Source organism: Homo sapiens, chromosome 10, assembly GCF_000001405.40.
Source record: "Homo sapiens chromosome 10, GRCh38.p14 Primary Assembly".
Classification (NCBI taxonomy): domain Eukaryota; kingdom Metazoa; phylum Chordata; class Mammalia; order Primates; family Hominidae; genus Homo; species Homo sapiens.
In genome coordinates, this window is record NC_000010.11 from 114608408 (window position 1) to 114624019 (window position 15612).

General features: G+C 44.8%; 1 protein-coding gene across 40 annotated transcripts in view; it reads right to left on the bottom strand.

The window, feature by feature from the left end:
- The window catches only part of ABLIM1 (actin binding LIM protein 1), a 370264-nt gene that overhangs the window by 177298 nt on the left and 177354 nt on the right, over positions 1 to 15612 (bottom strand). For 3 of the 40 annotated variants that reach the window (XM_024448013.2, XM_011539801.3, NM_001352442.2), the window contains exon 1: positions 5250 to 5329. The gene's annotated coding sequence lies outside the window, so the exon portion shown is untranslated. 40 annotated transcript variants of the gene reach the window in all.

A 15612-nucleotide genomic window follows, 5' to 3' on the forward strand; every position in this document is an offset into this window, starting at 1 on the left:
GCCTGTAATCCCAGCACTTTGGGAGGCCGAGGCGGGCGGATCACCTGAGGTTGGGAGTTCGTGATCAGCCTGACCAACATAGAGAAACCCTGTCTCTACTGAAAATACAAAATTAGCTGGGCGTGGTGGCGTATGCCTGTAATCCCAGCTACTCGGGAGGCTGAGGCAGGAGAATCACTTGAACCTGGGAGGCGGAGGTTGTGGTGAGCCGAGATCGTGCCATTGCACTCCATCCTGGGCAACAAGAGTAAAACTCTGTCTCAAAAAATAAATAAATAAACAAACAAACAAACAAAATAAAGCTTATTTTAAAAAGAAAAACAAAGGCTGGGCACGGTGGCTCACACCTGTAATCTCAGCACCTTGGGCGGCCAAGGCGGGTGGATCAACTGAGGTCAGGAGTTCCAGACAAGCCTGGTCAACATGGCAAAACCCTGTCTCTACTAAAAATGCAAAAATTAGCTGGGTGTGGTGGCAGGTGCCTGTTATCCCAGCTACTCAGGAGGCTGAGACAGGAGAATCGCTTGAACACAGGAGATGGAGGGTGCAGTGAGCCGAGATCGTGCCACTGTACTCTAGCCTGGGTGAGACTCTGCCTCAAAAAAAAAAAAAAGTTCCAAATAGCTCTCTCAGTCCCAAATCATCAAGCCTAAAGTTCTCTACCTAACTTCAGAGATCTTCAATAACATGGCTCATGTCAGCTTTTTAGGTGTTTAAGAAACAACTACCTCTGCTGAGTACTTATCCCTGTGCTAAGTGATGTGATCACAGACAGTCTGACTTTGCAGACCAAGCACTAAAATACTCTACTATTTATTTGTATTAATTTAGAAATCTCCCTTGAGCAAGGCCTTCTGACCACTTTCTGGTCTAGCATCTTCATTCTCGCCAGTGCCTTCACTCCCACTGTAACCTCACTTGCTGTGGTTTCTCTTCTCCCCATCTGTCTAAATCAAACTTGACCCATACGGCATAGCCCAGGTCCTGGCGCTTCTCTGAAGCTTTCATGCTGGCTTAGATTGAGAAAATATTTCCTTCTCCTCCATGTCCTCCAGCACTGAATATCTGTACCATCACCAATGTTTCTCTTGGTTTGTGTTTCTTTTGCTTTTATTTCATAATCCTGGCCCTACAAAACTGCAAGCTCAATGGTCAGTTCCTCCAAATGTCTGAAATAGTTCTGATATTGATTTCAAATATCAAATAGCCTGAGTTGTCATCTCTATACTTCTCAGTTCAATGTTTGGATTAGGGAAAATAGGGTTATCCCTAATAACACTATAGGGACATCTCCCATGCGAAGGTCCAGGGTCCTGAACTTCTGACATTTGCAAGAAATCACTCCAGAACACTACTATATTATTATAACAAGTAAAATGCACTGAATACTTAATGATGTTCCAGGCACTATAACAATTAATTGCTACTCACAATCAAAATAACTGCGTCACAATTGCCGTAGGAGGGACTGTTGCACAATTCCTGTTTTGCAGAGGAGGAAACCAAGGCTAAGAAGAGTTAAAAACCTTGTCCAAAAAGGTACAGCTAAGAAGAAACAGTCTTACTTTGGCCACATTTGGAAGCACTGTGTAAGGGATTTCCACAGGAAAAGATTATCTAGCATAGAAGGAAATCAAGCTAGTCTAATGTCCTCACTAGGCCCTGGGTGTATGGCTCAGAACTGGTGAATGCCCACCTGCGTCATCATTCCAAAAGCAACACCTGCTAGTCAATACGCAGATGAGGAACAATGCTTGAAGTACAAACAGAAATTCTTCCAGGCTGCAGCCATTTATGGGAGAAGAACATGTACAGAGTCAGGGTGAGATAGCAAGGAAACACGACACACCATTGGGAGGACCCTCTCGGCCACCTCCAGCCTGAGCAGAGGCCAGGATTGGAAATCTCTCTCTGGTTGAGACTGGTCTGGATTTGCAATCCTAAGATGCTCCTCTGTATGGTAAGGTTGACTTCTGCTTAAAGACAGGAGTCCTATTCTCATGGCAGTCTACGTTTGAGAGAGACTGCTTCATTACCTAGAATATTTTCTCTGCTTCTACCCCATTGGTTCCTACTGAATTGTAAACACATATCACAGAGATGTGCGCTCTCCCACCTCCTACTCCCTTTCTTTGTGCTAGACCGGCACTAGTATGGAGCCCAGAAAACAAGAAACTCAACAGTTTAAATAAATGCATAGAGTGCTTAATTTGCAGTTTACCTAAAGGCCCATTTCCTGCTGTGGCAAGTGGCAGCTACTTGAAGCTACATACACAGTTACCCAGTCATTAGTTGTCCAAAATGATCCTTCTCTTAAACTGGCTTCCACGACCTCATTTTCTTATACCATGTGAGTTCGGTAAACAGAATTATTAGTTGGCACAAACACTCCCGGGGGATGGGCAGTACAATGGTGGGCTTCCCTGCCACTTGTGGCTTTCACCAGTTAAGATACCCTGATACTGGCCGGGTGCGGTGGCTCATGTCTGTAATCCCAGCACTTTGGGAGGCCCAGGCAGGCAGATCACGAGGTCAGGAGTTAGAGACCAGCCTGGCCAACATAGTGAAACCCTGTCTCTACCAAAAATACAAAAGATTAGCCAGGTGTGGTGGCACACACCTGTTATTCCAGCTACTCAGGAGGCTGGGGCAGAAGAACCACTTGAACCTGGGAGGTGGAGGTTGCAGTGAGCTGAGATCGTGCCACCACACTCCAGCCTGGGGACAGAGCAAGACTCCATCTCAAAAAAAAAAAAAAAATAGATACCCTGATACTTGGCTGGGCATGGTAGCTCATGCCTGTAATCCCAACATTTTGGGAGGCCAAGGCGGGTGGATCACCTGATGTCGGGAGTCCGAGAACAGCCTGGCCAACATGGCAAAACCCCTTCTCTACTAAAAATACAAAAGTTAGCCAGGCATGATGGCAGGTGCCTGTACTCTAGATGGCAGCTACTCGAGAGGCTGAGGCAGGAGAATTGCTTGAACCCAGGAGGCAGAGGTTGCTGAGCTGAGATCACACGACTACACACTAGCCTGGGTGACAGGTGAGACTCTGCCTAGAAAAAAAAAAAAAAGATACTCTGATACTTCTGATACTTGATTTGCCTTTTCCGTGGCTACGTGATAGGTCCTTGCTATTCCTCCAAACATAAAAGACGCTGTCAGCAACCGTCAGCTGGACTCCTGATTATAGAAACAGCTTCTGCTCAAATCCAGTTAATCTGATTCCCCCAAGGCAAAGAGGTACTAGGATTATCATAATTCAGCCAGGAAATTTCCTCCTTATAAATCACTTGGCGCACTTGCCCTGATGTGCTGCACCTGCCTTCTCTATGTGAAGGTTAAGCTCAGAAAGGGATTTTAAAATTGGCTTGGTGCCTTTTCCTCCTCCTCCTAAAAGCATGACTCCTTTGACACACTCTTTGACTGAGATGACTCACTGAAATGACACCCTTCTTTGACCTCTCCTAGCCTTTCTCTGACCATGTTCAACCATTTGTATACAACTCCCACCTCTTCTCTCTAATTGTAATTAGAAGGGACCTCAGATTAGGGGACTGGATTCCCAGTCCTGCCTTTCCTGACACATGCCTCAACCTCCCTGAGACTGTAAAAGGGGCCAAGAATACATGCCCGACCTTCTAGGGTGGTAGCGGAGACAATGTGAGGCCATATCCTCCTAGGAGCCTTCTATGGTTTCAATGTCCCCTCCAAAATCATGCTGAAATTTCATTGCCATTGTAAACGTTAAGAGGGGGACCTTTAAGAGGTGATTCAGTCACAAAGGCTCTGCCCTCATGAATGGATTAATGCCATCACAGCAGGAGTGAGTGAATTATCACAGGAGCAGGTTGCTGATAAAAGAATGAAGTTCAGCCCCTATCCTCGCTCTCACACCCTAGTTTGCTCTTCTGCCTCCACCATGGGATAATGCAACAAGAAAGCCCTTACCAGATACAAATGTCTTGACCTTGGATTTCCCAGCCTCAGGAACCATAAGAAATAAATTCTGTTTCTTTATAAATTATCCAATCTGTGATATTCTGTTCTAGCAACACAAAATGGACTAAGACAGAGCCCCCACAGCCTCAGCCTGGCACACAGATGCCCATGTCAGCTGAATGTCAGGAAAGACTGTCACTAACCTGTATGAGCAGGAATTTCTGAAGCATTACAAAAATCCCTTCTGAAATTTGATTGAACCTTTTAAGGTCACCCAGGGATCTCAAACTATCCCTGCACCAGCAATTCTACTTAGAAATGAATCCAGTCTAACAAATGGGCATTGGCTTCAGTCTAAACTCTGCCGGCAGAACATCACATCTTTATGGACAACAAGAGAGCCACATCCATCCTGACTCTGAGAGTAGGAGGGATTGTGGTCCCATCTGAGCCATTTACAGAAATACAAGTTAAGAGAGAGGGTCAGAGTCTATTGTCACATGGCCTAGGGTCTTGAGACAGGGTTTAGCTTAAGCACGGTACCACCATTACCTTCTACTCTCTAATTCCAATTCCAGACACCTCAGAGGAATTTGAAAAACAAAAACCAAAAACCAAAGAACTAAGATATTGATTGAGGTGTCTCTTTGTGGCACAAATCTGTCTGTCTCCAGCACAGGAAGTCTCCCAGCTGTCCTTGCCTTTTCTTTCTGGCTGCTTCTACTTCCAGGACATACTCAGAATCATTAAGTACTTAAAAACAGCATTTCAAACAAACTAATGAAAAAAGCTAATACATGTGTGGCACTTCACAATTTATAAAAGGTATTCAAAGATAATAACTCCTGTGATCCCATCAACCCCAATTATACTGATTCTGCAGATACAGAAATTGTACTTCGAAAATCTTGAGGGGGTTTCTGGGGAGAAGAAAATAAAATTTTAAGGGATTCACCCCTGCAGTGGGGAGCTCTAACCTGCTTGGGAGAGCCGGCTATGCCCAGCCCTTCCCAACTGTATGGTTGACTCCACCTTGGTAGCTTGAAATTGGCTGCAGTGGAAGCATTTATACCATGGAAACTGGCAAACTTTACAGATCAGGGCCTTCCTCTTCCTGCCCTCTGGAGAGCTGGTTGTTAAACATTTACCGGCACACCATTGTGCCAAAGGTTATACTGATTCCAAACTGCAGAGTGAAGCTTTTCATTCAAGTGCTTATAAATTTCAGAAACAAGAATGTGAACCCTTTCTGAAAAGGCACTCTTGCTCTTGCACTGTGAATAAAGACACAAACCTGCCCTCACCTGGGTCTCTCCAGTGTCTGCACACCCACTGGGAGATGAAAGCATGAGACCTGTGTTCACAGCATCCAACTTGCAATGTCAAACATTCTAGAATGCTACACATTCTAGAACTACTCTCTAAACACCTAGGCTCCTGACTCCTCCCAGACCTGAACTTCAGGCTCCTTCAAGCTCTCTTATGACCTAATTTTGCTGGGTGTAACCTCTGCAAGAAAATGCAAACACATATAATCTGTCACCTTGCTAGGTATTCTTCTATTCATCCCGGTGACAAGGGAGCATAACCCTGGTGGTTGATCATTCTCTTATTTACCTTCAGAATGGCCTCTGCTTGAGTGGAGAAGAAAAGATTATCTCCCAAAGTTTAACAAAGCACTTAGTGAAGACTATGGCTTGAAAAGAAAAAACATGTTAAAATCCAACATGGGACTGGGAGGAGAAGGGAGAGGAAGAAAAAATTTTTAAATCCCTCCATGGAACTCCTAAATGTAACCTTCCAACACTTGGAAAGTAGGCCGGGTGCGGTGGCTTACACCTGTACTCCCAGCACGTTGGGAGGCTGAGGCAGGTGGATCACCTGAGGTCAGGAGTTCCAGGACAACCTGGCCAACATGGCGAAACCCAGTCTCTACTAAAAATACAAAAATTAGCCAGGTGTGATGGCACACACCAGTAATCCCAGCTACTGGGGAGGCTGAGACAGGAGAATCGCTTGAACCCGGGAGGCAGAGGTTGCAGTGGGCTGAGATTGCACCTCCTACACCTTATTAATGCATGCCATCCTCCCCACTAAAGTATTAGACATGTTTTTCACCAACACATCCCCACCCCAGCAAATGTCCTCAATATCATTACATCTCTGCTACCTTTTTAGGAAAGAGCCCATAACAAGACAGATATAAAAAAATCTGAACGAGATGCCATCAGATCAATGCCCCACTCACAAGGGAGTTTTCACAAACACAACTTGCCTAGAGGAATGTCAACACCAGTGTCAGCACCAGAGATTTGCCGGAAAATTAGAAACATTAGGATATCCCTATGAGTAATTGATCCCTCACTAAAGTAAGGTGCTAGGAGGGGTTCAGGGCACAGCTATGAAAAACACAAGTGTGGGCTGGGCGTGGTGGCTCACGTCTGTAATCCCAGCACTTTGGGAGGCCAAGGCGGGTGGATCACCCGAGGTTGGGACGAGACCAGTCTGACCAACATGGAGAAACCCCATCTCTACTAAAAATACAAAATTAGCCAGGTGTGGTGGTGCGCACCTGTAATCCCAGCTACTTGAGAGGCTGAAGCAGGAGAATCGCTTGAACCTGGGGGGCAGAGATTGCAGTGAGCCGTGATCATGCCATTGCACTCCAGTCTGGGCAATAAGAGCAAAACTCTGTCTCAAAAAAAAAAAAAGAAAGAAAGAAAGAAAGAAAAACACAAGTGTGTATCTTCAAATAGTGTGGACTGTCAACTCATTTGTTAAATCCCTTTGCCATGCAACAACCAGAATGATCTTTTAAGTGCATAATATAAACAGATTACTCCACTAATCCTTCTTTCACTGCCCTATGGAAGATGCGCTCTGGCCCCACCACCTCTTCCAGCCTCTTCTCACACTCTTTCCACATCCTCCCAAGCTCTGGCTCTTGCTGCTTCAAGATCTCCAGGCATGCTTTTCCCTGCCCAGAAGGCTCTTCCCCAGCTGTTTGCGAGCCCAGCTCCCTCTCCTCCTTCTGGTCACACCCTCAAGCTTCTAGGTCACCTCCTCTGAGACTTCTCCCTGAACTACCTTGTTAAAGGCAGTCTCCCTCCGACCCCCATCTCAGTTTCCTCTCTTTATATTTACCACAGTCTAAACATTCTATTTCTTTTTTCTTTTCCATCTTCTCCATTACAAGGTAACTGCCATTGTATTACCAGGGTCTGGCACCATTGTATGCACAAAGCCAGCACTCTATAAATGCATGTTCAATATGTTCATGTTTTGAATACCAGCCTGGCTTTCTGTCTCTTTTCCAGAGCAACAGTCTTTGGGTGAAACTGAAAGTCAGAAAAATACCTTGGGTTCACCAACAGTGTCTACTATCAGTTAGGTAATTTGAATGATGTCAATACCACTCAACCGATGACAAAAAATAAAAGACTCATTTAAGTCTCTGACTCAGAAAAAAAAAAAAAACAGCTGAAGGAAGGAGCTGATGGACCAGTCTCAAACCAACCCTGGCTAAGCTCTCTGAATGAGAACCACACAACAAAGCACAATTTCCAGCTGACCTGACTTGCAGGGAGGAGTTTGGGTGGCCCCAGAGCCTTGGAAAAGCTAAGTGGCATGTCCCCAGAACAGGACATGATGAGTAGTGTTCTACTCATATTTATTTATTTTTTATCAAAGTTTAGGCTAAGTGTGGGCGGTGGCTCACACGTGTAATCCCAGCATTTTGGGAGTACAAGGCAGTAGGATCACTTGAGCTCAGGAGTTTGAGACCAGCTTGGGAGACATAGCAAGACCCTGTCTCTATAAGAAAAAAAAAGTTTAAAAAACTCAAAGAAACAAATATGCTTATAATGCATGATGGTAATTGCCTGCCCCACTCCTCCCAACCATACCTATAGCCAACAGCCAGCAGGGACTGCTGCAGAGCAGGTGGGCAGCTTCCTCCAGTGGGTGTCCTGAGCACACATGGCTTCCAGCCTCAAACACTTTACAACTGTTCATATGATGCCATCATGTTCCCGCATCAAAGCATCATTAGCCACCTCATTTCATTCCACAACAAAAAGAGCAGTCTCATTAGCTTGCTTGCCCAAAGGATCTGGGCACTGAAAATCCAACAGGTCCAGTTCCTTGGTGAATTTCTATCACTGAACAGTAGAGCTTACTGGCCACAGGAAGCCACTGATGTGGTCCTGGAGTACTGTGGCATGACAAAGGTGACAAAGCGTTGTTCTACTTAGGCAAGCTGGAAGACACTGTCCAGTGGAAAGGAGTGGACCCTCCTGGGTTCCTTGACTCAGCTATCTCAGCTCTACTTACTTTCCAGGATCCTCAAACTAATCTGTTACTAAACTCCATCTCATTGGACACATTGTCCTGATTTTACTCAGTCGAAAGGAATGACAGTAGTAACAGAAGGAATAGCAATTACTGAGCTACGTGCCAGGAGGCAATGGGTGACCAGGCGTTGTTTTAAATGCTTTATGTGGATTAATTGATTCAATTTTCAAAATTACCCTATTAATTGGTACTATTATTGTCCTTATTTTCTGATGAGGAAACTGAGGCAACAGGAGGTTAAGGGACTTGCCCAAGGTGGCACAATTAGTAAACAGGCAAGCTGGATTCAAACCCATGAAGACTGGTTGCAGAGCTCTCATTTATAAACACGACTTACTTTTTAGGCAAACCTATGAAATCCTGAAGCTTTAGGGAATAATTTTACAAAGCCACCAAGGCAACTGAAGGACAGCTGTACCACAAGGGGCAAGTGAGAAAGAGAAGGATATATACTATAGTGAAGGGCGTTCAGCCTCTGAAAAATCCTGGCCGAAGGCAGTTGAACACTGTCTCTCTTTCTGGTTACAAATTTAATTCTTCTCACTACCTACTTTTTTTTTTTTTTTTTTTTTTGAGATGGAGTTTTGCTCTTGTTGCCCAGGCTGGAGTGCAATGGCGCGATCTTGGCTCACTGCAACCTCTGCCTCCTGTGTTCAAGCGATTCTCCTGCCTCAGCCTCCCGAGTAGCTGGGATTACAGGTGCGTGCCAACACGTTTGGCTAATTTTTTTTTTTGTATTTTTAGTAGAGATGGGGTTTCGCCACATTGGCCAGGCTGGTCTCAAACTCTTGATCTCAGGTAATCCACCCGCCTCGCCCTCCCAAAGTGCTGGGATTACAGGCATGAGCCACTGTGCCCAGCTTCTCACCACCTACTTCTTAGTCCTGTTTTATCTGCAAGGGACCTCGGGCCATTCCTTTGGCTCTGGGCTGTGCTTCTACTCTGATGCTTAAAGAAACTCCACAGACCAACTGACTTTCATTAACATTTATTGAGCACATGGCACAGGCCACATTTGAAATTTTCGCACACTATTTCACTTAAATTAACCCTAACAATAAAGATATGGAGTGGGAAGTATGGGTTTTTTACCCCATATTTATTTATTTTTTATCAAAGTTTAGGCTAAGTGTGGGCGGTGGCTCACATGTGTAATCCCAGCTTTTGGGAGTACAAGGCAGTAGGATCGCTTGAGCTCAGGAGTTTGAGACCAGCTTGGGCGACATAGCAAGACCCTGTCTCTATAAGAAAGAAAAAGTTTAAAAAACCCAAAGAAACAAATATGCTTATAATGCATGATGGTAATTGCCTGCCCCACTCCTCCCAACCCCTATAGGCAAATGTGCTCAACTTTTGGTGTTTTTTCTTAACACTATGCTTATATCAACTCAGTCATTAGCTACTGACATCCTGTTTCTGCAGGTGAAGATTCGGCTCTTACCAATAGGCCTACACCACAAATTTTGGTTAAACCCATGGTCACTGTTTTACACTTTGCGAATGTAATTATTGTTCTACTAGACTCTGTAGTGCCTCCTAGGAATAGATTCCCTTTCTTGTACAATGGTTTTTGTTCTCTTAGATTTAATCGTTTCCCTTTCTCCCACTTGCCTAGCTCCTGATGAATAATCCATCATGTTTTCTACCTATTTTGTTGTGATCTACTAATAATTTTTTCCAATGCTCAAACTCACCAGATAACTTATCAAACCTCCTGATGTGGAGAGAAAATTGGGTGTTCTCAGTATTGTTTTAACTGAAAAAAACCCTGACTCTGAGACAGGTTAGGAGCTTGGCTCTATGTCCTCCAGGAAGTGGTAGAGACGTGATTTGCCCACTACCAACTGCAGCACCAGCTCCCTGGAAGCACACTGCCCCTGGGTAAAGATGTGCAGGCTGTGGCTGCACAACTCCAGAGGGTGCTGCCCCCAACTCAGATGAGAACAGTGCCCTGGAGAGGCAAGGCACAGGCCCTGTCAACAAGGTGCCTTCCAATCTCGTCTCCAATGCTGCTCCTGGTCATCTTGCACCACGCTAGCCCCCAACCTGAAAGTACTGTGTTGACTGCCGACTCTCTGGCTGGCCTTGCTTGCCTGATTCATGTTTAGTAGTTGGCATCTTTGCCTACTTATTATGCAAAACTACCATATTAGTGTTGCCTCACTGTGGTCGTGTGGTTTTCATGGCAGGGATGGCCTTTCCCTGGGGGTGTCTCCATCATATCAACTCTCTCCAATGGCAAGAAGCCACTCCTGGGCTCTTGTTGCAAAAGTCCAAGTGCTTTTTGAATCCTGTTGTATATTGCAAGGGTGCTTTCAAGTCAAGATAGGGGTGATGACAGACATGCCCTGCACCCAAGGAATGGTTAAACCTTTCCTGCTGCATGGAAGGCCTGCTGACAACTCACCTTTTGGACATTCCTGAGGGAGGGGTGAACTCTCTCCAAAGCCCTTAAATTATATTTTTTCTTTTTTTTTTCTTTCTCTTTCTTTCTTTTCTTTTTTTTTTTGAGACAGTGTCTTGCTCTGTCACCCAGGCTGGAGCGCAGTGGCACGATCTTAGCTCACTGCAACGTCCACCTCCCAGGTTCAAGCAATTCTCCTGCCTCAGCCTCCCGAGCAGCTGGGATTACAGGCATGCACCACCATGCCTGGCTAATTTTTTTATTTTTAGTAGAGACGAGGTTTCACTATGTTGCCCAGGCTGGTCTCGAACTCCTGACCTCAAACAATTCACCTGCCTTGGCCTCCCAAAGTGCTAGGATTACAGGCGTGAGCCACTGTGCCTGGCTGAAATGATATTTTTTTTCTGGAAAAGCTCTTACACATCAAAAATGAATGCTATCCAGCATGTAATGCTCGACAATGTAGATGAACAGCTGGTCACTGAGGGATGGGACGATGCATGGCAGATAGTCCTGGTCCTGATCTTGCTCCTCCCTCCCTGGCTGTGATACAAAAGCAAGGAAACAAGGTAAGCGTGGTGAACACAAAGAGGAGAGGCAGACTCATAGGGAAAAGTGATCCCAACTGAAAAAGCAATTCCAGAAATACCAGGCTTGAAAGCTGACATGGGCTCTACGAGTGTTTTCTTTGGACTTCCAGCTGGAATTCAAACAGTATTTTACTCTGAATTTAACAGTTGGGTTAGTTCTTAATTGTATCAAGCACCCAAGACAGATGACACCAAATTCCGGCCAACTTCTGTTAAGGATAAAGTGGCAAATGAAAGATTCAGACATTCTTTTGTCAAAACCTGTCCCGTTGCAAGTGAAGAAACCCAACGTAACCCAAACATACCTATTATCACAATAACAGGAGTACTCAGAATGGAAACATGGTTGCCCACAGAAGTACCTTATTCTGTTTCATCAATAAAAGTTTAATTAGTTAGTGTAGAGGGTCTAAGCCAATGCTTTTCAAACTTTGGGTCTTGAACCACTGGAACATAAAATAAGTTTAATGGATCATCACCGGCATACTTAAAAAGTAGAAAAGAAACTAGCAGAGAGTAAAGGTAAGTATTGCTTCATGTGAGTTTTATTTCAGCCATTTATATGCATGTGTATATGAATCCTGGGTCTTGCTGTGTAAAAGTGTGTTTCTTCCTGGGGTAGGCATGGTGGACAGGTCATTAAACTCCAAACCATAATCGAGAGGCCCTTTGACTGAGTCCTACCCACAGACATGTTTTGTTTGGCCCACACAATATTTTTTTTTCTTCAGAAGAAGTCTCACTCTATCGCCCAGGCTGGAGTGCAGTGGCGTGATCTTGGCTCACTGCAACCTCCACCTCCTGGGTTCAAGCGATTCTTCTGCCTCAGCCTCCCGAGTAGCTGGAATTACAGTTATGCACCATCAGGCCCAGCTAATTTTTTTGTATTTTTAGTAGAGACGGGGTTTCACCATGTTGCCCAGGCTGGTCTTGAACTCCTGACCTCAAGTGATCCGCCCACCTCAGCCTCCCAAAGTGTTGGAATTACAGGCATGAGCCACTGTGCCTGGCCACACACAATATTTTTTAAAGAGAAAGTGAAATCATTTGCCAATATTTAAACATCTGGAGATTTTACATAAAAATCCCTATTTCCAGCTGCTCTTGAAAACTGCAAGGCCTGGCAACTTGACCTGCATCCCTCCGTGGAACCTAGGATGAAGGACAAAGTAACTCTTCCCTTTAGGGAGGGCCATGCTCTGTAGTTTGCCCCAGGCTCCACTCAGGTCACCTGCCTGATTCTCGGGGCATCCATACGTCTGACCCCAGTTCTAATCATCCTTAGCTCAATGTGACCCACAAAACCCCCCTACTTACCTCTCCTTATGTCCATTGCTGTATGATGTGGCCAAAATGCTAAACTGAGCTGCTTGCATCTCCTCAGACAGGAGGCATACTTTATTGCTTCTGTTTTACCCACTTGAGTCCCTTTCTCGCCATCCTCTTTTTATCCACTATTGCATTCCTGTTCATCCTTCAAAGCCCAATCTTCCATGACCATCCAATAGCATTCATCACTTTCTGTCCTGCAGTCCCATATTACTTTCATAGTTCCCCTTTGAGTACATTTCACATTGTATCATAATGACTTATCTATGTGTGTCTGTTTCTTGCTAGAAAGTGAGTGCTTTCAGGTCAAGAACTGCATTTTATGTGTTGCTATATCTAGATGGCTTATCTCATATTAGAGTCTAAAAAAAATTTCCCAAATAAGAATAACCATCTCCCCGACCCATACACCTCATTCATTCACTTATTAGTTCATTCAACATTCACTGAGTGCTTACTATGGAGCAGACACTGTGTAATGAATATAGGTTGAATCAAACACCATCCCCAACATTAAGAAACCTACAGAACTCCTCAAATACCAATCTTAAATGCCCCCTTTTCCATAAAGCCTTTTCTGATTCCCTTGGGACTATAGCTCTTCCTTCCTTAGAACCCCCATAGAAGATTGTTCACCCCCATTCTATCACCTGGTGTCCCCTCCATTTTGCATTCTCCATCAGCATCCCTCTCAACACCTGCTAACCCATTCATCCACTAAATGTAGGATCTTTCCAGTGTGTCGAGTTATTCTCGAAGTGCCTCACAGATAAGAGACCTCAAGAAAATTGTAATGTGATCAGGCCGCTACTAGAAGCCCTTCGCTATGGCTCATTGCTATTTCTGAGTTTTAGGCTAGGACCTCTACACATGCCAGAAGTGGTAGCATTTTCCAGGTAAGCAGGGACAGAGGGGCATCCAATCCTTCTTTAGTGCTCAGCATAACTGGGCTCTCGTCCTGCGGACTCCAATCCCCATCAGTCCTAAAACTGCTCCTTGATGGCCATTCAGAAGGTGTCCCTCAAGTGGCACATGGCAGCAGTCCAGTAGACACCCACCTAGCTCATGTGTCACTATGAGATGGTCCATGGACCCAGGCACCCATAGCCCCTATCATTTTTCCAGGAAGGGAGTACTCAGCCTTCTCTCCCATTCCCCATCAGATACTCCAATGAGGAACAACCTTGCCACCTTTTCCTATCATCCACTTTTCTTTTTCTTTTTTTTTTTTTTTTTGAGACAGGGTCTCACTCTATTGCCCGGGCTGGAGTGCAATGGCACGTTCATGGCTCATCGCATCCTCGACCTCCAGGCTCAGATGATCCTCCCACCACTGCAGCCTCTTAAGTAGCTGGGACTACAGGCACACACCACCATGCATGGCTAAATTTTTGTCGGGGGATGGGGGGAATTTTGTTTTTTGGAGAGACAGGGTCTCACACTTCCGAGCTCAAGTGATCTGCCTGCTTTAGCCTCCCAAATTGCTGGTATTATAGGTATAAGCCACTGTGCCTGACCCACTTTTCTTAATTCTTCTTAAACTTTTCCCTTCTCATGTTTCAAATAGAGAACAACAGAAATAAACAGAAGAAAAAATACAGACTACTAGAACATAGACAGAATGCAGTTGACTCTTGAACAACACGGGTTTGAACTGCACAGATCCCCTTGCACACAGATTTTCTTCTACCTCTGCCACCCCTGAGACAGCAAGACCAAACCCTCCTCTTCTTCCTTCTCCTCACCTGCTCAGCATAAAGACAAGGAGGATAAAGGCCTTTATGATGATCTACTTCCACCAAATGAACAGTAAATATTGTACAGTGGTAGTAAATGAAACACTCCAAGCCTAAACAACATATTTCAATTCCTCAAAGATTAAAGAGGGAGTGGTAGCCTTTGTGAGCCAAGATAGCTGATTAACTCTTTTCCCTTTTTTTCGTTTGTTTTCTGAGACAAGGTCTGGCTCTATTGCTCAGGCTGGAGTGCATGGCGATCTCAGCTCACTGCAACCTCTGCCTCCTAGGCTCAAGCCATCCTCCCACCTCAGCTTCCTGAGTAGCTGAGACTACAGGCATGCATCACCATGCCTGGCTAATTTTTGTATTGTTAATGAACTTTTACCCAAAAATTCCAAATAGCTCTATGATTCCAGGTAAACATGCTCATCTAAGTCTTGGAAACATAGGAGTGATGCCTGCAGAATATGCACACCTGTGCCTTCATTCTGAATTAATGTTGCCTTCTCCAAGTCACGCTGAGCCCCAACTCGCCCCCATGAAAAAGTAACTTAAACTTCCTGCCAACCTTTGCTCCCAGTATCATATACTGACAGCAGTTTCTTGGCCACTGGGATCTCACAGGTCTGCTTCATTATGAAACATGGCTTTGTTTCATCCTGCTGGAGAGCCAGAGTGACAGTGATGTTCTTTACCTTCTTTTTGCCATCTGTGCATGGTGAGCCAGATGATATTTGCAAAAGGGAATGAAGAAGCTACTTCTATAAAAATTTTGACTTACCCACCTGTAGGGCTGGTCATTTTACCCACAGAAACGACAGATTACCTGCACAGTGTCAAAATGTGGTCCCTGAATCAAGAACATCAACATTATCTGGGAAGTGTTAGAAATGCAAAATCTCAGGCCTTCTCCCAGACCTACTGAATCAGAAACTCTGAGGGCAGGGCCCAGAAATCTGTGTTTTCACAAGCCTTCCAGATGATTCTGATCCCAGTTGAAATTTGAGAAGCACTGTCCTAGACAGTAATTTCCTTAGAAGTATTAAAAAAGCCAGGATCTTCATAGTTAAATGCAAGTATTCAAACAAGCCAGCCTGTTTGATTGCAACAGGGACACACAAACTCACCCCTGTTCCACCCCCAGGGGACACTGGACCATAATAACATTAATTATGTCAGTCTGAGCACAAATACAATGTTTCAGAGAAAAGAGGTCATGCATAACAAATTTTCGCTCTCCCCACTGTTAACA